Raw genomic sequence first — 25,110 nt, 5'->3', positions numbered from 1 at the left:
ATTTTGAAAATATTAATGAGATCTTAAAGTGTGCATGTACAATGATGAAACAAATAGTAAGCTGGATTCAAGTGATTTAAAGTAGCTGTATTTAATAATGGTTTATATAATAAAAGATCACTATATAATGGTGATAGATTAATTTGAGCCAACCCAATGGTTAGATGGAACAAATAAACCGATGAGATTTTTGTTTTTAAATTTATTTTCCAATTAGTTTAAAAACTGTGAAGATTATATTACTCAAACTTGATCATATATTTCATTACAATACATTAAAAATTTTTAATTACCTTTATATTTTTTTAAGATACTTTACTATTTTTGAAAGCATATTCTCTACTGCCTTGCCACTACTATTCCATTACTACTTTAAATCACCTATTTACATAAGGTTATGTAAAGATAAAATACATCTTTATTCCCTTAAATTTATTAATTCACAGATTTTCATTTAAATAGCCATGCCAATTTTCCAAATTTGAAATGTGGTGGGTAAAAGAAAAACAGATGTCTTGCATTTAAGTATAGGAGATTGATATCATTTATTGTTACAAATGTGCATATTGCCACTTTCATTTGTATCTTTATTATTGATGGCATTAGGGAAAAAGATACATTTAAAATTTTATTGGCATTTTCTTGTCTTTAACTGTGTAACTGTTGGCTTCTATATAGCTTCAAGTTTTATTTGACATATTTCTAAAAGTACTGGGAATTCAGAATGCCAGCGATATAGATCAAAAATTGTTGATCATTTTATATATATTATATTTATACATGCAAAGACTATATTTCATACTGTATTTGGTATATTCATGGATTAAAATTGATAACAGCAGCTGAATGTGTACATTGTTACCTCCCTTAAGCTAGGTTCAAAATAATGCCTATTCTCGTTGGTGTTTTCTTCTCTCCTTGTAGTTAACTAAATAGGTCAAGAGCAGTAGAGAGAGTGAGGAATGCTACTGTTATCTCTCCCAAACTGGTTAAAGAAAAATAATATCTCTAAGTTTGTGTGTGTGTGTGTGTGTGTGTGTGTGTGTGTGTGTATGTGCGTGAGAATTTTGTCCCAAATTTTAAGAGGATGAATAGATTAACAAAAATGTGAACAACAAATGTGCAGCTCTCCAACAACTTTTTTTAAATCATTTTATTTAAAACTATGTGTAAGTTCTAGGGACCTAATTACACATTAGGTAATTTCTCACAAACAAGTAAGTAATTGTATTGCGGTCAATTATTCTCTTCTTATCTAAGTTCCATTCTTTACATTTAAATGGAATTCTATATCTCTGTAAAAATCAAGAAGCAATTGCTCACTTCTTATTTTAGGGATTTACGCTGTTAACCTTTTAAATTCTTGTTTTGTAGGTAGTTCATAACACAGCGGTCCCCAATGCACTTGCTGTCGATTGGATTGGAAAAAACCTCTATTGGTCTGACACAGAAAAAAGAATCATTGAAGTATCCAAACTCAATGGCTTGTACCCTACTATACTCGTTAGCAAAAGGCTGAAGTTTCCCAGAGACTTGTCTTTAGATCCTCAAGCTGGGTTTGTAAAAACTGTTAAAAATCTTAAAGTTTAAGACTGGATTACATTCATAGTAGTAAATCTAGTACTATAGATCATTAACATGGAAATCCAATGTAACGTGTAAGTGTGCAGAAATTCTCACTTAGAAATAGAAAAAAACAGTAATGTGATTATCACAATGAAAGGAATAAAATTAAGATGATTGAATTTTACAGAAACTATTTTTTTAAAGTTTTAAACACAGCTATTTTCCAACTAGTTGATAAATCCATGGTAGAAATGAATAAAACATACAGATTTCACTGATTTAATGCCTTTAAATCTTGAAGGAAAGGCAGGCTAAGAACAAATTCTTAGATGATGTTTTGCAGTGGTTGGGGTAGTCACAAATATGGACAAAGTAATCCCTGCACCACTTCATACCAGGAGACATAAGCAGTATCCATGGATAATAAATGACAGGGTGCATTATCATGTGCCTTCAAGATGAAAAGCTGAATGGGACTATTGGGAAGAGTTTGTGGTGGATCCGTTTCATTTGCATTTCATTGCAAGAATGGAGAGAAGTCATAGTAAGGACCCAGGACCACAGGCTGGAGATTTCAAATGAGGGATGAACACATCTGAAGGTGTCAAAGCTGTCTGGTGTATGTTTGCTAAAGTTCTATAGATTATGACCATTATAATTCACTTTCAATTATGTTGTTTTGCTCAGTAGAGTGTACATAACTTTTTAACTTTTTGCACTGTAATTTAGAGTGATTACATGCTCCAAAATGATCTTTGGAGAAGTTCAACCTACTCAACATACTTGGTAAAATAACAAATTTAAAGAAAGGTTGATGTTTTGAAATAGGACACATTCACAGTAGCAAGTGTTAGGATAACTTTGGTACTCCAAATTTTCTGCAATTTAAATTAATTAATTTTATTCACATATTTCACCAAACCACAGCTTTTATCATACCATATGCAACAATTAGATTTTGCTTCTCGTTAATGTATCTCTGTTAATTTTTTTGGTCCCTCATGTTTATAATTGGCAAAGTAATCATGTCATAGTATATTTTATAGCTTAACTGTATACATTAATTTAGGTAAAAATAGTACCTAATAGGAGAAGCTTTGTACTGTGCACGTATTTTTGTTTTCAAGGTAATGTGCTCATTTTAACTTTTCACTATATAATTATGTAATCATTTTATCTTTTTGAGTATTTTATTTACCATAGCAACAGAAGGTTCAAAGAGTATCAATTTTATTTTAATTTAAACGGAATCACTAGAAAGTCTCTTTATATGTATGTTTTAAGAAATAATGGCCAGATGTACTAAATTTGGCTATCATCTATTCATTCTTAATTATGTGAATATTTCAATTTCTTGGATATTTTATAAGAAAGTTTATTTTTGATTTTTGATAGCTGGGTGTGGTGGCTCACGCTTCTAATTCCAGCACTTTGGGCGCCGAGGCGGATGGATCACTTGAGGTCAGGAGTTCGAGACCAGCCTGGCCACCATGGCGAAACCCCATCTCTACTAAAAATACAAAAATTAGCCAGGCGTGGTGGCGCACACCTGTAATCCCAGCTACTTTGGAGACTGAGGCATGAGAATTGCTTGAGCCCAGGAGGCAGAGGTTGCAGTGAGCAGAGATCATGCCACTGCATTCCAGCCTGGGTGACACAGCCAGACAGTGTCTCAAAAAAAAAAAAAAAAAATATATATATATATATATATATATATGTGTGTGTGTGTGTGTGTCTATATATATGTGTGTGTACATATATATATATATATTTGAGTGTCTGAACAATTTTTTTTCTTCAAAATCAATATGGCTGGCTTAGCTTCTCATTTCATGCTATTCAATATGCTTCACTTTCTAATGAAAGAAACATTACCTGTTTGCTAATAGCAGTCTGTGGTCTTTTCTATTTATGAAGCAAAACCTGTGTCCTATTCTAGTGAATGCAGCTGAATCTATTAATAGCTTTAGGTTTTATTTCTCCCAGGTTACAGTTATTACCCCATAAACTGAAAGCAGCCTTAAGTTATCATCAACATAAACCCATCCATTAAAAGTGTCAATTAAAATAGCACAGTACAAAATTATTATAGATGTTATAAAAGACTCCATTGATTTCATTTTTGGATAATATTTGGATTATGATATAGATATGTCATATTATAACCAAAGAAAAAGGTAAAAGTTGGATCTCTTTATGAAACAATTAAAAACAACTATTTTAATGGATAAAATTTAATGGCACCTTTTTGTTCATGCTGTTTGCCTAGTTCCCCTGAGTGAGAAAATCAGGCAACTTGGATTTTAGCATTGATGAGATGAGCTCTAGGGTGAAAATGCCATAACTGTATAAAATATTATGCAATCTTGCTTCAAAAAATGAAAACTTAAATTTAAGATTAATAGAAATGCAATTGAACCTTCCTATATCAGATTGCCACTGCGACTTGCATATGTTTTGATTATATCAAAACTACTGACTACCGTTTCCTTGAGAAGTATGATTTCTGTCCTGATATTTAGTGAAGAAAAGGTAAGAATTTGTTTAAGGGAGAATGAAGATCATTAGGCTGTCCTATGTATTAGAGCAATGATACTTTTAGAAGATGTCTTGGGGGTCCTTTCTTCATTTTAATAACAGTATGTCAATTATTACAATAGCACTTTAGATATGGTATTTAGTAGGAACGTAAAGATACAAGTAGACAGAAAGTCTTCTGAGCTGTTATATTTAAATCCAATTGAAATCCTAATTTTTCCTATAATTTTATCTTAAGCTTCTTGTTATTTTGTGTAGTGTGGAAATGAGTATTCTAATTTATTATTAATTTAGGGTAATTGAAATAATTTACCTTCAATATTGATAAAAATTACCTGTATGCAGGATATGTATAAGCATTTTAAAAGAGAATAGAGAATGTAAATATGTTAAAACTCTGCTGCAAATTTTATCTTTTTGTATAATTAAGGTGTCACTTTAGTTAATCATAACAAAGGCCATTATGATAAACATTAAAGTGAATGTATGATATGCCTAATTAACAGAAAACATTACATATACTCATTCATTTATTCAACTCATATTTCTGGAATATTTAGTATATGTCTGGCACTGTTGGTAGGAGTGAGAATAAAAATAAAAGGCATGGTCCCTCGTCTTCAAGTATGTTACACTCTAAAATAAAATGCATGGTCCCCTGTCTTCAAGTATGTTTCAGTCTAGTATGTAGGTAGCTGATTAAATAATCACAATTCAATACAATAACTTTTAAGGTAGAGAAAATGAGAAGTGTTTCTGTCTCAACTGGGATCAGAGAAAGCTTCCTGAACAAGAATGGTAGAGTAAGAAGTAGCTGAGTGACGTGGTGCTCTACAGGGCAAGAGATATTTTTTGGCAAAAAGAACGGTCTCTCTAGGAAAGAACAGACACACAGAAGAGTGTGGCACATCCAACAAATTACAAGGAACTTATACAGTTGGAACAAATTAAACATATGTAATTATGGATCCAGTTTACTTACAGAGTAAAGGAAAGCTAGGAACAAGTCAGAACATAATACAAAATGACAGCAAATAACAAACATTACAAGGCTTCTGTCTTTGGCAAACAGGTAGAGGAGTTGTCCCCAGAATATGGGAACACAGAAAAAGAGAAAAATACAAGAAAGTGAAATGATCAGTTTGTAGATCTATTGGGATTGGGAGTTCCCAAATAATAATAATAATAATAATAATAATAATAATAATAATAATAAAGATGGCTACCATTTCTATAGCATTTTTTGAGTTAGAAAACTTTATCAGTTTATCACTTCAGATGCATGTACTGTTTATCCAGAGTCTCTGAGAAACATAGAATTATTTGTATTACTTTCCTTATAGTTTAGATAGGCACATTTAACCACGAACTGGCTAAGTGACTTTCTCAGAATTGTTTAGGTGATAAAATATTACACTGGGGATTTAATTCAGTTTTCAGGCTTTGGTCCCAGATTTTTCCTATTACATCATGTCAGAGTTTCCAGTAACAAAATAATTGTGGATCATAAACATGTTGTGCAAAAACCATCTGAAAAAGGGATCAAGGAAAAAAAGAACCCCAAATCCTGTAGTTTCTTCCATGTTGACAATTATCCTTTTTAAAAGATTTAAAATTAGGACAGGTAAGGGCTGGGCACAGTGGCTCACGCCTGTAATTCCTGTACTTTGGGAGGCCTAGGCGGGCAGGACACATGAGATCAGGAGTTGGAGACCAGCAGGCCAACATAGTGAAACCCCCTCTCTACTAAGAATACAAAAATTAGCCAGGCCTGTTGACACAGGCCTGTAATCCCAGCTACCTGGGAGGCTGAGGCAGAAGAATATCTTGAACCCAGGAGGTGGACGTTGCAGTGAGCCCAGATGGTGCCACTGCACTCCAGCCTGCATGACAGAGTGAGACTTTTTCTCTCAAAATAAGGTAAAATTAGTACAGATGATAAAAGTTTTTTGGAAATGAAGAAAGCTGCCTAGATCGTTACCAGCATGCCTTATTTTAAAAGACATACTTTCATTTATTTTCTTTTACTAAAATTCTGACAATAGCCTGTTAGAGGCCAGGCACGGTGGTTCAAGCCTGTAATCCCAGGACTTTGGGAGGTCAAGGTGGGTGGATCACCTGAGGTTAGGAGTTCGGGACCAGCCTGGTCAACATGGTGAAACCCCATCTCTACTAAAAATACAAAAGTTAGCCGGGCTTGGTGGCACGGGCCTGTAATCCCAGCTACTCAGGAGGCTGAGGCAGGAGAATTGCTTGAACCAGGGAGGTGGAGGTTGCAGTGAGCTGAGAGCACGCCACTTTACTCTAGCCTGGGCAACAGAGTGAAAAAAAAAAGTCTGTTAGGAAATCCACAAGGAAATAGTAGGTCATGTTTTGAATTTGAAATATATGTTAATGAAAATATGTGAAAGACACTTACTCAGTATTCATATCCATTATTGCCAATATGGATAATGACAATGCAAATAAATTTAGAAAGACACATTTTACCCTCTGTAACTTGATATTTTAGAATGTCCTTCAGCATTTACTATAGTTGGAATAACTACCAAATTTTCCAAGATGAGCAGAAATATTACTTCCTCTGTAAAACATTTTCTAATTGTGCCTAACTGGTCACCACATATTGAACATTTAACATCATATGACTGTTTTTAGCTGAAATGTCTTTCTCTCCATCTAGAAAGTAATTTCCTTTAGCACAAAGGTCATGTCTTAATCATTTTTTGTGCCTAACACGGAGACTGCTAAATTCACTGTTGAAGAAGACTGATGAATGAGTAACTAGATGTACACAGAGAATGAGGTTATAGTTACAGAGACCTTGTGCCTGCACCTATGCACAAACCAATACATTGGTACGTTAATAACCTGCATGTTTCAAAGAGAAGAGTCATAAGGGAACTTTTGTTGTGATGGAATGAAAGGCAGACCAAGATGAAAATTCAGTTTCTGATTTCTGTAGAGGAACACAGAAATATTTCATTAAACTATATATTCACATAAGAAAAACTTTTTTAAACCAATTTTTAAAATCTATCCAAACAGTTCATGTCAGTATCCTCATATTCAGGCAAAAACACACAGGGAAATAACATATATGGTTAATTTTATAATTCAAAGTCAGAGATAATTGCAGGTGGAAGGAAAAAATTTCTTCAAATTTAATACTTGAATTCAGAGAAAAATAGTAAAAGCTGAGAAAGACTTCTATTTAATCACTTTTATAGAAATACAATGTATAATATTCAACTATAAAAGACATTCTCAAATTCACAGAGGCCTATTGTTATGGTTACAAGCAGACATTCTTTTATGTGCTTATACTTCATTATATCTCGCAGAATAGGTACTATTTGGGGCTGAAATTTTACATATGAGATTGGGGTAAACATTGCATATTATCTGGGTGCAATTTAGATCTCTTCTTTCAACATTTTCACGGCAGTTGTCATTTTTAGCTTTAATTATTTATAATACATTTTTACATAGGTAATTTTTAAGGGTTTCATTTCAGAAGTTAAAATTACCATTATGTTTAGCACAGTCTTATTGACAAATTTGAAGAAAAAAAAAGTATAGCAATAGGGCCTAAGTATGAAAAGGAAATGATATCTAGCCATCAGAAGTTAGCTACCACTTATTGAGAGACAAAATAAATCCTGTGTTTATGAAGGCTCATGCTTACCTGAGTACAGGTGAACAACATTTTCCTTCAGTATAATAGAGTATTATCCATAATATTCTTCTGCTTGACGAATACTTAAATAGGCAAATCATGTAATAACTTACATAAAATCAAGGCAAATCATATTCAAAGATACATACAATCCAGATGCAATAGGTAGTCTAGTAGGAGAGTATTACTAAACTAAAAATATATTAATATGCATATTTCCTATTTAAGTCAGATAAAATAATAATAGCTAATATTTGCTGAACACTTGCTACATACTTATCAATGTTCTACGTTTGTTTCATATATTCTCTCATTTAATACTCACAGTGACCCTGTGAGAAGAAACTGTAATTGCTTCTTTTAGACATGAGGCAATCCAAGCTCAGGAAGGCTAATTAAAGCTCCTAAGTTCACATAACTAGTAATGAGAGGACCTGGGATCTGAGCCCATGTAATCTGTTTCTAGGGTTTCTTTGCTTCAGATGCTATATAGTGCTTGTTAGAAAAGAAGTCAGTGTACGAATCTAGAAACCTGAGTCCTTGTTCCAAGTTTCCCCATCATAATACACAAAGCAGATAACCTTTTATATTCTCAGTTATCACTTTATCAGGGGAAGCTTTAAGCTATATGATCTCCAGTACCCTCAATAACCAGAATTAAAATTCTAAATTGGCACGGTGGCTCACGCCTGTAACCACAGCACTTTGGAAGGCTGAGGCAGGCGGATCACAAGGTCAGGAGATCGAGACCATCCTGGCTAACACGGTGAAACCCCATCTCTACTAAAAATACAAAAAATTAGCCAGGCGTGGTGGCGGGCCCCTGTAGTCCCAGCTACTCAGGAGGCTGAGGCAGGAGAATGGCGTGAACCCGGGAGGCGGAGGCTGCAGTGAGCCGAGATTACACCACTGCACTCCAGCGTGGGCAACAGAGCGAGGCTCCTTCTCAAAAAAAAAAAAAAAAAAAAAAAGTTAAGTTATACTTTGTCCTAAAATCTGAAAGAAATAAAACGTCATTTTTCTCAAGAAATTTATAAGGTGGTTGTGAAGATAAGTTTTTTCTTCCAAAGAACTATTTGTAAGCACAACAGTTTTTCATGCCTTCCTCCATCTAGGTAAAATTATTATTCACTCTTTTGTACTTCCATAGTAAAAAATTTTTATTAGCTGAAAAGTGAAAATGTGAGACTGTAATGAAAAACTCTGATTTGAGCTAAATTTCACACAATTCATAAGTGGGGAGTAATTTGGAGAGGTATATTTGGGCCCAGTAAGAAAGGGTTTTCATTCGAGGGAGAGAATTTCAGTTCTGGAACTCTTACCAAACTTACTGAGTGTGATGTAACAAATGTTGGACTTCATGAAAATAATATGCTTTTTCTCTTCTTGGTGTCTTGGTTCATGATGATGGTAAGACTACCAGATGAAAAATTTCAAAATACAAATGAAAATTTAAAATTGCAATTATATGGAAGTTAGACCACTTGAAATTTGTAGTTTACTTAAGAAACATTATTATTGACATCTAATAATTTTCAATGCTTTTATTGATAGCATTGATCACATGTACTGATCAAATTTAATGGAAACCCTTTTTCACTTCTGAGATATTTAAATTGCAAGTACAATTACATGTAGAGTAGCTAAATAGAACTATGATGGCACTCTCTGATTAAACCAGTTTGGATGTGTTATTTTTAATGTTATAGAAATCACTGAATTATTACTTTTAATTTTTATTTTCTTATATGCAATTCTTAAAAAACATAACATGGTATATAGAAGCACAAATAAATTTAATCATATCTAACATGTGAGGGAAGCTGGAATAAATATATTACATTTCAGATAAATCAAAAAGTATTATGTTAGTATTCCCAAGATTCAAGGTCAGTAAGGCAAAGAGAATTGTTCTGATTTATTTCAACAAGGTAAACTATCTTTTTATTTTTACTTCTTTCTGATTCAGTTTCTTCTTTTGCATCTCTTCTGTCATGATACCTAGTATAGGCAACAAGGTACTTCTCCATAAATTTATTGGAAAGTACTGAATTGTATGTTTTCTTAGAAGATGTATTTCACTGACGTATTCACTTTTCAAAAGAAAACTATAACAAAAATAATTCAAGATTTTAAAAAGCATAGCATCATTTTTTGAGGGGCTTAGGATCTATTATTGCTTGATAATTTGAGATTTTCAAAGTATGTTTAAAGTTAATATGTATATACAAAAACACTAGGGAGGAATTCCGGTATTGCCCTATGTGAAATTGACTTAGTGTTACCAGACCCAAGTTTATTTTACATTTTGACTTTCAGAGCTCTTTGAATCTCTGTTTATAACATTACACCTTTTGTTTAGGTTTTATCAGAAATATATTTCTTCTTTTTTAAGCACCATACTTCATTATTACTTCAATGATAGTTTGACTATCAAATAACTTTTGTATTATCTTTATAAGCCATACCTTTATGCAAATCAAGAAAATGATTGTCAAAACACAATATGGTGTGTGTTCTTTACAATGATTATTTAGGTTAGCTTTGTATTTGATAAGTGTTTTTATTTTCCTGAAAACTCTTTCCTTTTTAGTATGTGGTTAAAATATCTGAACATAATTATGTCTGTCAGAATTTATGAGAAAAAATTTCTTTAAAGAATGTTTTAGATTTGAATTGAATATACCAGTTTTACAATCATCTAAAATATTTTCAAACCAAATTATTTTGATGCAAATCTTGTAAATCTGAAGAACTAATTGCTAAGTATTATATCTGGCAAAAAGAAAGAATGAAATAGAGAAAAATCTACTTGTGTTAACAGATTTTAATTTCAGAGTTGGAATGTGAAAATAACTTTAAAGATCCTGTAACTCAAATCTTTATGTAGACAAGGAAACATCTAAAACATAAAGTAATTTTTCTTACTTTGAGGAAAAACACAAATGGCTTAATCAAACAGAGAAAAACGTCTAAGTAATCTGCCGCTTATACGTTATTTGCATTTTATCGGGTGTAATATTTATACTGAACTCAACCTAATTATATAGTATCAATATTACTTAATTCACTTCCTGTTTTTTCCCCACTTTTGGAACTGTCCTATCTAGAACTTCTAATAACATAATGTAAATCACTGCTGTCCAGTAGAACTTTCTGTGATAATGGAAGTGCTCCATATTTATGCTGTTAGATATGATGACCACTAGACACACATGGTTACTGAGCACTTGAAATGTGACTCGTGTGACCAAGGAGCAATACAGTTCATTTCATTTAATTTTATTTTAATTAGTTTAAATTTAAACAGTTATAATTGGTTAGTGGATACCATATTTAACAATGTATATTAAGGAAATAAAATGTGCACCTCCATAATTCCTTTTGAATTTTTCATAGATAACACACCAAAAGAGAAAGTATATATAGTGATAATTGTATTCCTTCAACATTGATAGGTATCTTTTGAAAGTTTACATATATTAGTTTTGAACATCTATAATTGGTTAACACATGATATTATTATATAATATTGTTATATATGAGTTTGTGTTCTAAAATAAACATATGTTTAAAGTTATAAGAATATTTCAAATCATACTAGATGTGTAATAAAACACCATAAGAAATTTTGCATCAAAGGATGTTTCTTAAAAGCTGCAATTCAGAAAAATGGCAAGATTAATGTGGGAACAGTTGAGCAAAAAAGTAATATATTGTTTGTTGTTTTGCTCCCAGAGAATCTGTAAACAAAATCAGTATTGATTTTCTTTCCTAGATATTTGTATTGGATTGACTGCTGCGAGTATCCTCATATTGGCCGTGTTGGAATGGATGGAACCAATCAGAGTGTTGTCATAGAAACCAAGATTTCTAGACCTATGGCACTAACAATAGATTATGTTAATCGTAGACTCTACTGGGCCGATGAAAATCACATTGAATTTAGCAACATGGATGGATCTCATAGACACAAAGGTTGGTCCAGTAACATAAATATTCTAGTATTTTACCAGGTCATAAAATATTTATTTAAAAATATATATTTATTTTATATGCTTTCTCTCATAAAACATATTTAATTTAAGGTTACATTATTATACTTCTTTATAAAAATATTGGTAAATTAGAATTAGATGTATTCAAAAATTATATGTTATGCACAAGATATTTTACACTATCAATGTTTTCTTTAATCTATTTTTCTAAATAGATTTTCTAGTAAATGGGCAGTAGTTTTATAAATTAATATCCACATGCATCCCAACTGAATTGAAATAGAAGGTTATTTGCTTGTAAATATGAGGCTATTACTGCAAACTGCTAGGATTTCAATTTTCTTAAAAAACTGAGTAAAAGTATAGTTTTATAAGTTATCAGTTAAGCTATGTACATGACTAAAGTTATTGTTACCTAATCACAGCAGCAACAATAATTAACATACAAAATAGTAACAGACAAGGATATAACAGAGAAGATGTCACGTATAGTTAAACATGACACGGATATAGCAGAAGCCACAAATGACTCAAATTACATCAAAACGTTTTAGGTAACAGGTAGCTTTTTAAGAATTAGATTTTTTCCTGAACAAATAAATGAATTTTTATTGATCTTCACCAACCTAGTGTCACCTTTGCTATCAGGGGTTTACATTTCCAAACATCACTTAAAATAAGAGTTTCAAAGCGAGGTCCCAAATAAAGTCTGCATGTTAATTCAGTTTAGCTTATCAAGTTACTTCCTTCTCTGGCATTAAGCTTAAGACAAAAACCCTGGAGGAGGGAAGGATGAGAAATGGTAAGGAAGAGAGGATTATTCTTAATCATCGAGTAATACTCTGCCAGTGTGTTCCAGTGTGGAATAAAGCAATGAGTTTAAAAAGAAAAAAGGTAAAAGGTACCAAAGTTACACCACTTAATAATTTTACCTATATTCCTGTCAGTTGATGTTTAAACAAATACATCTTTTCATCCTTCTAACTAGTAATGTTGACAGGAAGTTTTTAGAGGCGCTTTCTTAAGGGTAAGAACATTGTAATACAAAGAGTGTAGTTGGATGAGTCACTTACTTAGGTGTTGACATTCCAGTTATGGAGATAAAAAACTCATCAGGATGCAATTTAAGTGAAAAGTTATTTAAAGAACACTTTAGGATTTTAATTACAGCAAAAGGAATGTTGACAGATTGAAATCACACCTAGCATTTAAAAGTTATATCTCCCCCAAAGAATCAATAATGAAATGTTCTGCCTCATTCTTGGGTTGCATAGTTGAAAGTTTTATTGTGACAATCAATATTTTTCCTATGTAACTATAAACCTTTTCATTTTTAGCCTCCATATAAAGTGCTAGGAGGTTGTATATGTATTACTTTCTACTAAAATTTCATTGTACAACAAAATTTATATATATATTGTTATTAGGTAGGTGACTATTTAAAAACACTGCAGCATTAAATATTTGCCTTTCATTTGAGTCTTTGAAGTCTGAATAGCTAAAATTGTTAAAAATATTAGATCTATTAGAAACTATTGACTTCATCTCCTACTTATTATTAAAAAATCATGTCACTTATATGGTGACTAATGCTTTGATAACCTTAATACAAAATTAAGTGCATGTTAAAGTGTCAATCATAACACTGGTGGTGACTTTGGATAGAGAGACATGTGTAACAGGTAGAAATGGTACTAAATGTATTAAATAGTAAAATATTTGGCTGAAAGATAGTCTAGTATGATGTTATTAAAAATTTCAAACTTGATTTTGAAAATGCATCAAGACTTAAATGGGAAGAAAAGTAGAGTTGCAGCCTTCAGAATATTTTCTCCTGAAGGTTTTCTCAGAAAGACTAGTGAAAAATTCATTAAGTGCCTTATCAGGCACCTGCCAATATCTGAGCGCAGGCCAATAATTATCTGGTAGTTACTAATGAGGTACTAATTGGAGCCAGCCTGAATTATGCCAACTCTACCATCAACGAAAGAAAGAGCCATTAATTTGCCATGTTTGTAAAGTGGAATTGGATTATTCTACTTGCATTTGCCCCATAAAGACAAAGGATGCTATGGTTTCCTAGTTGTTTATTTGCAGGTGGAAAATGAGACATTTATATCGATAACTTTTGTGTTACTTCATCACTAGCCACTTTTTTAAAACCAGACCAATATTATTTTTCTCATTTATTATATTTCTTAAAACTGAAATCTGAGCTAACCAGAACGATGAGACATACCAGTCATGACAAAGTAATTTGAGAATATAAAAAACATATGAGACTTTTCAGAACAACAGCCCTTTCTCATAAGCCAAATTTTAAAGTTAGACCTTGGACTTTATGGTTTAAAAAGTTGGGTATTCTTTCCCCAAAGATATTCCAGTTTACACCACAGAGTAATTTTATAAATGAAGCATTATTTTATTATTATTTGTCTAGACCAAGAATATCTGAGGTTTCTAAAAATTCTGTGACTTAAAGTTCAGATTATCTCCAAGGTACATGTGCCTTACAATTTGTTTGAGAGCTTCCATTCCTCTTTCTTTGCTCCCCGATCTACCCTAATTCACCCTCCTATCAAATCCACACACCACATTGAAAACCTGAACAAGAAATTCCAAAATACATCGGTCAATTTACTAGCTTAGGAAAATTTAGATGCAATCTTAGTCACATGAACCTCTCCCTAATCTTTATTTCTCTGTATCACTCTACTGTTATTCACCATAGTAACATATGATGTAATATTAATAATATAATGATACAGTAAAAAACATGCTACTGAATAAGTTAGACAGTATATTTTAAATTACATCTTCATTAGTTTATTTTATTCATTGCTCTGATTTCTTCCTGTTAACTATGCCCATCATTCATTTATTCATTCATTCATTCATTCAATATTTACTGACCTGTCTTTCTGTGCCATGCACTATGCTAGGCCCCTGGTGTTGTAAAGATGAATGAGTCTCTACCTTCAGAGAATAACTCAAATGGCAAAACAAATATGCAGGTAAAGACATAAATTAGATTGTGGGTAAGAAGTAGGTGCAAAATATTCCAAAAATGCATGCAGCAGTACTGAAGACTGCTAAAGTGGGAAAATCTTTGAGCAGTTTGAGAGATTTAGTAAAAGCTCCCCATAGAGGGAAAGTGTAAGAAGGAGTCTTCACACAGAGGGAACAGCATGTGCAAAGATGTAATAGAGTCTTGAAATAGCATGGGGTTTACTCAATTTGCCTATGACTGGAAGTCATATAAGAAGGAGATAATGACACTAGATGAACAAGGGCAAATTGGGGCCAGATTGTCACAAGCCTTGTATGCTAAGTAATTTGGAATTTATCCTTAGGTCACAGGGAGCTATTGATGGTGTTTAGTTGATGGAGTGCTGTTATTAGATTTGACAACAGCATGTGAAATGAAAGACCCTGGAAGGGCAACCAATTTAGAGACTGTTAAAATATTTTAGGAGAAAATGTTTGAAGTGATTATAGCTGTGGGAATGGAGATACAGTGTTAGATTCAATAGTTATGTAGTAGATCAAATTGGAGATATATGTAAGCTTAGAAATACTGGTAGTGGCATTATAAAAATTAAGTAAATGATTTATATTATTATTGAATTAGCTAGGGGAAAATAATTCCAATATTTGATGACTTATTAGTTTTGCATATATTTGTACATTTTTAAAAAGAATTAATAGTGCCAAACTACTCCTAATTTAGATATTCAGAATCTCTATGTTATGATGCTCTATTTTGGTGGGAGATGCGTTAATTTTAAGAGCAAAAGTGCTATTCTAAAGACGTATTTAAACATTCTATATTATGCCCTTCCCTAAAAGGCATTTCAGAAAACCTGATAATTTAACTAGAATAAAGTTCGCAAATAAGTGACACTCTTTCCTCCTACTCTCTCTTGAGACATGGAATAGGTCCAGTGAGAGACTTGGCAATTTGAGGGTGTTCTCCAGGTAGAAATATTCAGTTTTTAAATACACTGTTATACAAAAACAGACTGATCCTAATATATGAATAAAAATATTCTTCTTGTAGGTCCATATATTTGGGTTTGATTCCTTACAACTCCCAAACTGAAACCCTCCTAGGAAAATCTTAGGCTTTGATTTTAGATAAGAAGTAATACGCCTTTGCTGGAGTACTGATCTTTCAGTGAAAGGATCTCCTCAAACTGGAGAAAGCAAACCTTTAAGATCTTAAAAGAAGTCTGGGAACCTCAAGGCTCTGGGTCAGGTTGGGATGGGATCTACTGCTAACTAGCTTATTAACCCTGAACAATGTAGTTAAATTCCCTGGACCTCAGTTGCCTCATTTGTAGAAATAAGGGTGTTGAAAAATATGACATGAAAGGGAAGTCCAGAACTAAAAGTTTAAGCCTCCAGTTACATGGATCAATCAATACTTTCAGAATCTTTGCCATTTTTTTTTTTTTTTTTTTTTTTTTTTTTGAGACAGAGTCTCCCTCTTTCACCCAGGCCAGACTGCAGTGGCGCTATCTTGGCTCACTGCAAACTCCGCCTCCCAGGTTCATGCCATTCTCCTGCCTCAGCCTCCCGAGGGGCTGGGACTACAGGCGCCCTCCACCACACCCGGCTAATTTTTTGTATTTTTAGGAGAGACGGGGTTTCACCGTGTTAGCCAGGATGGTCTTGATCTCCCGACCTCTTGATTTTCGCCCGCCTAGGCCTCCCAAAGTGCTGGGATTACAGGCGTGAGCCACCACGCCCGGCCCAAATCTCCACGTTTTAATCTCAAATGACTCTTCCTTAATTTAAGCCTAAGAGAGAGAGTTTGGAAATCTGTAATAATTAAATGCTTTCTCATTCAACCTTGATGAAAATATCAAACTGCCAAAACAATCCCCAGTCCTGAGTGTTATCATAAAGATTATTAACATATTTCAAAGTTGAACACTTGTAAACTAATCAAATTAATGATGGAGGAGAAAACCTATACTCTTGAGCATTACCTTGTACTGTGCATTTTACACATAGTATTTATTTTGTCTTTCAACAGACATTTTCTTAGCCTAATGGGATTCCAAGAACAGGGGTCATCCTCTTATGAACTAAGTCTTTTATTAGAAGCCTACTGATTTCAAGGGACTGTGCTTGATGCAATATGTGCTCTTGTAATTATTCTACCAACCTATATATGTAATAAGTGCGGTTAAAGCCATTTGCCAGCAAGGGAATATGTTCAAAGAGATTAAGTAACCTGTCCAAAGTCACAGAGCTAGTAATCAGGAGAATCAAAATTTGAACCGAGATCTACCTAATTCCAGGGACTGCTTTCTTTCCAGTTTTCACACAGCACCCTTGCTTTTGAACAGACAATTGAAGATTGAAACCTACTTGTTAGAGCCTCTAATATTAATAGTTATAGCATAAGTATACACTTACACAAATAAAGTTGAATCCATACCTGAAATCTTTCAGATTGATTCAAGTATTGGACAGGTAAATTGCATAATATATGAGGAAAAAACACACAAAAACAAAGCCACTAGAATATAATTACTATAAAAGAAAGCATGCATCTCAGTAAATCCTAATATTTTTTGTGTCTTCTTCAAAATGAAAAGAGCAATGATGTTACTTTAAAATGTATACCCTGTGTCTTAGTCTGTCTGGGATGCTTTAACAGAATACTATTGGCTGGATAATTTATTGCATACATTTGTGGAGGCTGGGAAGTCCATGATCAATAAAAGTGCCAGTAGAATCAGTGTCTAGTAAAGGGCTCACTGTCTGCTTCATAGATGGTTCCTTGTTGCTGTGTCCTTTCACAGCAGAAGGGGCTAGTGAGCTCCTTTGAGTTTCTTTTATAAGGGCACCATTCCCATTTACGAGGATAGAGTCCTCATGGCTTAATCACTTCCCAAAGGCCCGCCTCTTAGTACTGTCATACTGGGTATTAGGTTCCAATATAAGAATTTTGGAAGGACATCAACATTCAGACCATAGCATTCTATCCCTGGGCCCCAATATTCATGTCCTTCTTATGTGCAAAATACACTTATTTGATCTCAATAGCCCCCAAATTCTTAACTTGTTCCAACACTAACTCAAAAGTCTATAGTCTTCTCTATATCTTATCTAAATCAGATATGAGTGAAACTTAAGATATGATTTATCGTTCTCCTGCTGTGAACCTGTAAAATCAGACATGTTATCTGTTTCCAAAATACAATGGTGCACTGGGCATAGGATAAACATTTCCATTCCAAAAAGGAGAAAGAAGAAAGAGGTAATGGATTCTGACCAAACACCAAAACCAAAACGGAAAACATTAAATCTTAAGGCTCCAAGATAATCTTTTCTTAAGAGCATAACTGGTGAGAGCTCAGAAGAAGGGGAAAGCTGTAGAGAAAGCATTAATATTCTCGAATAAAATCTTCTAAATTTTGCCTTCTGAACACACTGGTGTGGCGATTGGGCCCCAAAAGTTCCAGGGGGGCCTGCCTCCATAATTTTGCTGAGTGTAGCCCATTTTCCACCTCTCATAGGTTGGAATCTCATGCCTGTGGCTCTCCCAGGCTGAAGTTGCAAGCTGGTGGCTCTAGCAGTCTGAAGTTTCCGGGTGACTCCACCCCCACAGCTCTGCTTGGCATTGCCCTATAAGGGACACTGCAGTGGCCCAACCCCATGGCTCCATTATGCATTGCCCTAATAATAGGAGCTCTCTACTGTGGCCCTACCACTGTGGCAGTTGTCTACCCCAACCCCAAGGCTTTCTGTGGCATTTTTTGAAATTTAGATCAAGGCAGCCAGGCCCTTGCTGCATGTGCACTCTGCATCCTGGTGGAAATTGCAGTATGTGAACCTCACCAAGACTTACTATATTTGACTTCCAAAGGGACAGCCTGAGTTGCATCAGGGCCTGCTTGGGCCACAGCTGGGCTGGCTAAAGAGCACCACACTGAAAGGTGGGGAAGAGAGCCTCGAAATTGTTCTGCTTCTGAGCCTCTGGCATTCTGGGCCTGTGATGGATGGGGTAGCCTTGAAGACCTCCAAAATGCTTTTGAGGTCATTCTTACATTGTCTTGATAGATAGCACCTGGCTTCCACCCATCTATACTAATCTCTTTATCAAATGATCCCTTGGCCACACCCTTGATATTCTCTCTCTCAAATGTTTGTTCATTCTTAACAAGATGGCCAGGCTGACGATTTTCCAAATCTTTTTCTGCTTTCATTTTGGTTATAAATTCCATTTGTAATTCCTTTCTCTCCTTGCATTTTACTATAAGCAGTGCAACAAAGCCAAGTACCTCCTTTAACACTTTACTTAGAGATTTCTTCTGGCAGATATTCTATTTTATTGCTGTTGAGTTCTGCTTTCCACAAAACACTAGGATGCAAACACAATTCAATCAATTTCTGTGTCAGTTTCACTCATGAGGGTAGAATTCTCATGACAATCACTTCTCAAAGCCTCCACCTCCACCTTTTAAGACTTTTTTTTTTTTTTTTTTTTTGAGATGGAGTTTCCCTCTGTCCCCCAGGCAGGAGTGCAGTGGCTTGATCTCGACTCACTGCAGTCTCTGCCTCCTGGGTCCAAGCAATTCTCCTGGCTCAGCCTCCCAAGTAGCTGGGATTAACAGGCACCTGCCACCAGGCCCAGCAAATTTTTTTTTTTTTTAATTTTTACTAGAGATGGGGTTTCACCATGTTGGCCAGGCTGGTTTTGAACTCCTGACCTCAAGTGCTCCACCCACATTGGCTTCCCACAGTGCTGGGATTACAGGCATGAGCCACTGCACCAGGCCTAATACTGTTATATGAGATATTAGGTGTCAACATATGAATTTTGGGGAGACACCAACGTTAAGACCATAGCACCATGATTTAGTGGGATAGTTGCATATTAGAGTTTGCTATGTTAAAGTAACTACATTCCCTGAATATAAGAAAAAATTTGTTATAAATTTGAGATTTTTTATTGATTTTATGCATTTCAAAAAGTATAGCCTTCTCTGAATGGATTGCCTATTAACAAAAAATATCTCCTGAGAAAAATTTTAGAAATAACATTGCATATATACCTTAGCTTAGAGATTTCATTTTCCATTTAATGAAAAGAAAGGTAAATATTAGAAAATTCTATTTTGACTGAAGTTTATTTTTGACCACTTGTATCAAAGTAAATAAATTCAGATTTAGTTCTTTTCAATTTTGGTTGCTTGTGCCATTGAACTTCAGATATTTTAGGCAGGTAGGTAGTATTTTGGAAAAGAAAAGGCTGAAAATACTGTGTGAACAGTAATAACAAAAGGGCGAACTAAGAAAAAGTTACGTTTGACCTTGAGTTTTTAAGTTTATTTGTTCCAATAAATTGTTTTTTTCAGGATACTCTTCAGTGTATCAAAAAATTATTTAACCTTGTGTTAAGTCAGTTGGTTATGTACATATTTTATCCAGCATATTGGAAAAAATTATACTCTTAACTGTTAATTTTCTCTGAACAGTAATAGTTGGGTATGATTCTGAACTATAGTTTACCACTGAACTCTTTTATATTTTGTGAGCAAAATTGTTTAAAATTTCTAGCAATTATATTCACTACAGCTCGTCATTTAAAGGATAACTGTTTCTATACCCCTAGACCTGAAGAGCCTCATATTAAAGTGTCAATATTGTAGTCTAACTCTATTGTTTGTTTATTGCTCTGGAATCCAGTTTGTGTTGTGAGGGGGCAGTTCTGTGTTTGGATTTAAAAATCTAAATCATAACCCATGCAGTGTTAGTCTAATTAATTTTGGAAAAAGGAATCTAGATCTCAGCATGTTACTGGTGAAATGGCATGAAATATGTTTTAAGAATTTGTTCTGAAGACAAAAATAAAAACACTGAAAGAGACAAATAGAATATTTTGTGTTCACATATTCCGAAACCCAATAGCTCTTGCATTTGGATTTTTAGAAAATTTAGATATCCACTGTAGCCCACCAAAAAAAAAAAAAAAAGAAAAAAGAAAAGAGGAAATTGAAATAATACTTCCCACCCCCCGACCTGCACTATTTTATAATATTCTAGAGTGTTTCTTTCTTGGTAAGATATTGCATTTTAGTACTTTTGAAAAAAAAATTCTATCATTCACAGTCCATTACAAACAGTAGAGTTCACAGGGTATTTTATACCAATGGTGTTGATGTGCTGCTGTTTACAATACAATAAAAGTTAATGGAAGGGAGCAAAATACAATTCAGTTACTATAGAAATGTTTCTAAACCAGTAAAATAAATTGAAATTAACTGCCATTTCTAAAATGTCTTAGAATTTCAGTGTCAATCATGTCTTTCAGTTTTGTCCCTTGAATACATTAAATTTGCATATATGTTTAGGGAGTTTTTTTCTTTTTTTTTTTTTTGCAAATGTCATGAGTGCCACATGCTTGTAAAAATAGGGACATTTTAAGTATTACCCTCATTTGAGTTTTCAGTCATTTTCAACAGCCTCATCTATTCCAAATACAAGGGGTGGAGTGTGCGAAAAGAATAAGTAGATTAGGGATCAGTAGGTTTACTTCAGGTCCAGTTACTTCCTAATTTAGGCATGCTGCTTTGCCAGACTATTGTGCATTGTTCTTATTCATAGAATAGGGCTTCTATTCATTCAGTGATTCTCTAACATTTCTTAACGGGAATTTGGCTGAGGTTGAATCTAGGACAGAGGAGGACTGTTCTATCAATTCTCTCACTTACTCTTCCTTTTTGCTGGGACTACCTAGAACACTGATACAGTTTGGATATTTTTTCCTGTCCAAATCTCTTGTTGAATCATAATCCCCAGTGCTAGAGTTGGGGTCTGGTGGGAGGTGGTGGGTCATGGGGCAGATCCCTTATGGTTTGTGCTGTCTTCATGATAGTGGTCATTTAAAGGTGTGTGGCACCTCTCCACGTGCATCTTGCTCCTGTTTTGCCATGTGATGTGTCTGGTCCCCCTTCTTCCTCTGTCATGATTATAAGTTTCTTGACGCCTCCCTAGAGGCCTAACAGATGATGCCAGCACCATGCTGCTTGTAAACCTTGAAGAACCATGAGCCAATTAAGCCTCTTTTCTTTATAAATTACCCAGTCTCAGGTATTTATTTGTAGAAATGCCAGAATGGTCTAATGCCAACACATTTGAAAATGCTTGTAATATGTTACACTCTTCTACGTTTTTATTTTAGAAATATATTTATAATTGCAGGAATATGAGAAGACCAGATACTAAACTCATGTAAACAACTATACTTGATATGTGTCCCAGAGGCAAATGCTTTTCAAAGGCTTCAGTTTTTATTAAGACTCTCTAACAAAGAAATTCCTATGTATATGTGTGTTGAATATAATAATTCTTATAGTAAGTACTTATAGTCAGGCTCAGACTATCACATTTCTGTGTACTGTGAAGGATTTATCACTAGCACAATGGCCCAGAAAGTTTCGAAGCAAAAGGAATATACTTTACCAAGTGCATGAAGCAATGTTGCTTTGTTTACTTCACAGGTTAGAGAGAATTGTCATCATCCTACTAAAGTATTTTTAGTCAGTCTTGTTTTCAAAACAAGTGTACTACAGTTTAGACAGTCTGCTTTATAAAACTTCACATTCATTAACAGGAATACTCTTTGGATGGTGAATATTGAAATGGCTATATTTGACCTTCTATTATAAGCAATTTAAAAATAGGTAAGGGAAAGGAAGAGATTAAATGATGTTAAATCTAATATTCCTAATCTATATGGAGAGTACATATTATTTGAAATGAGAATGTGGAGGCAAGAAATACTAGAAAATAATGGGCCATGGATGCCTTCAGCTCTAATAATGGCTTAAATCTGAAAAAGATTTCTAAATACAGTATGAATTTCTTTTTTTATTTTATTTATTATTATTATTATTATTATTTGAGACAAGTCTTGCTCTGTCACCCAGGCTGAAGTGCAGTGGCACAATCTTGCCTCACTGCAACCTCTGCCTCCCGGATTCAAGCGATTCTTCTGCCCCAGCCTCCCGAGTAGCTGGGACTACAGGCATGCACCACCACGCCTGGCTAATTTTTGTATTTTTAGTAGAGATGTTGGTTCACCATATTGGCCAGGCTGGTCTCGAACTCCTGACCTCAGGTGATCTGCCCACCTCAGCCTCCCAAAATGCTGGGATTACAGGCGTGAGCCACCACTCCTGGCCACAGTATTAATTTCTATGCTTCCACATTACGTATTACACTTATTTAAGTGTCCCAGTATAAACTACTATACTAAGGAGAGACACAAGTTTATTTTGGACATTTGATCAATATCACTCTTCAAAAGTTAGCATATAATCTACTTTCAGGCACTGTCAGCTCTGATCTTCCTGCACTGTGACCTATACTAAAAGGAAAAGCTACTTTCCATCCCAGCAAGATCTCATTGAAGGACTATGATATTTAATATCGGAAAAATAAACTTTCAATATTCTATCATAACAGTTGGAAATGTTGGCCATCCTTCATGTTCCTGTCATTTCTTAATGCTTTTATTTGTTTTGAAAAATTGATTTTGGACCTTGGTGCCTAAGTTTTATTTGTGATACTGTTTGTTACTATCAAGTAGGATTGCATTAAAGGGTAAGCAGGCAAAATGTTCACAGAGGCCAAAATTGAACAAAACACTTCAGAGCTGCTCGTTGTAGGTTTCAGGAAATAATTTTTTTAAATGGTTTGCACAGTAACACCAAAGGAGACATACATAATTATTAGCTGAGAACAAATGTCCTTGGCCCTAAGGTTATATAAAGCATGATCTTTCTTTCCCAGGTGTTTTTAACTAAAGCTCTGGCTCCACGATCCTTCTCTGGAGATTAGCCTACCCTGGCCATTTTCCCACCCACCCACTCTTTGTCACTCTTCATCAACTAGAAACCATTATCCACCCACCCTCCCACTGGCCACTGTCATGAATCTTCCACTTTCTTTGTCACGTTAAATCACTTTCTACCGCCATCTAATATTATCCTGTTTACCAGACTGCAGTTTTTCATAGCCTTTGTTTAATCTCACCCCGTTTTTTCACTGCTAATTGTTTTTCTTTCTCATCACTTCTTTTTTGTTTTTCACACTATGCTACTTTAAGTCATGCCCTATCTTCTCTACACATCTCATTGTGCTCTTATTCTTCCAGAAAAATATCAGGGGAAATTATTAGTGTCAGGGTCTCTCAAAAGAGGGGATCAATGAGCATACTTTGTTCTCTCTTCTGAAGACAGATGGTGTTTTAGTCAAGCTAGATAGTCTGCACCATATTACTCAGAGAATGGTGTCATGGATGCTTTTTGATTTGGGAAGATATATGTTAGATGAAAAAAATATGAGAAATATTAGTTAGTGGGAGTTCTAGTTATCCTGGCTTTGCCTCTTTGCCCTCTTCCTGTGCCAGAAAGCTGACTTATGTGGACTACCTCACCCAGGCTCTTTTACCTTTCCACATCAAGTTGGATTTCCTCCATGAATTGCATTGCAAGGACATTAGATAGCAGACAGAAAAGGAAGTCAGAATATTTATTCATCCCCTTTCCATCTACGCTCAACTATAATGATTTAGCAGTGGCTGAGCCTGTCTATTAAAGACCACTGCTCTTGTTGGATGGCTTTATTCCCCTCAGCTGCATTTTTCACTAGCTTCTGGTAACAGACCTGGTAAAAAGCAATGCATGATTTGTACCTTTGCATGTCCATCTCTATAAATAATTCTTTATTAAACTCTCTGCAACTATCATTTAAAGATATGTTTTCTATTTTCTGCAGCAATTCTGACTAATATAAAAGAGATTGGAAGGGATTAAAAATAAGGTGACAAGTTAGAATAATTTTGCAGTATTCCTGGTGTGAGGGGATATGAGCCTTTACTTGGGATAATGGCAGCAAGAATTCTTTTAAAAAATGGGAGTGTCTTAAAATATATTAAAAAGAAAAAGATAGTAGGATTTAATGTTTGATTTGATATGTTTGTAAATTTTAAAGTTTTAGGGGATTACCTTTCCAAACATAGTCATAGGGTGAAGCATAAGTTGACCTTAATGGATCACTGATTGTTTAGGTATTTCCTTCAAATCAATATATAAACTCTTTATAACTCAAGTAAGTCAATTCTAAGCTCATGTTACTCTGTAAACTTGATTCCTTCATAAAAGTAATAGCAGAATTTGGTGATTGCATTCTATATCCTATTTTTTACTTTTGAAAATATGAATAAAGACTTTATAACCTTTTATTTTTTTTTTATTTTTTGAGATGGAGTCTTGCTCTGTCAACCAGGCTTGAGTGCAATGGCGC

General features: G+C 34.2%; 1 protein-coding gene across 4 annotated transcripts in view; it reads left to right on the top strand.

Moving 5' to 3' along the window:
- The window catches only part of LRP1B (LDL receptor related protein 1B), a 1,899,594-nt gene that overhangs the window by 1,644,118 nt on the left and 230,366 nt on the right, over positions 1-25,110 (top strand). For all 4 annotated transcript variants that reach the window (NM_018557.3, XM_017004341.2, XM_017004342.1 and 1 more), the window contains 2 exons: positions 1,375-1,556; positions 11,562-11,761. In NM_018557.3, the coding sequence (NP_061027.2) occupies positions 1,375-1,556; positions 11,562-11,761 (382 nt within the window). The remainder of the gene's footprint in view (positions 1-1,374; positions 1,557-11,561; positions 11,762-25,110) is intronic.

The sequence above is a fragment of the Homo sapiens genome, chromosome 2, assembly GCF_000001405.40.
Source record: "Homo sapiens chromosome 2, GRCh38.p14 Primary Assembly".
NCBI lineage: Eukaryota > Metazoa > Chordata > Mammalia > Primates > Hominidae > Homo > Homo sapiens.
The sequence above is the reverse complement of the archived record's forward strand: the minus strand, read 5'-3'. Positions and strand labels throughout refer to the sequence as shown.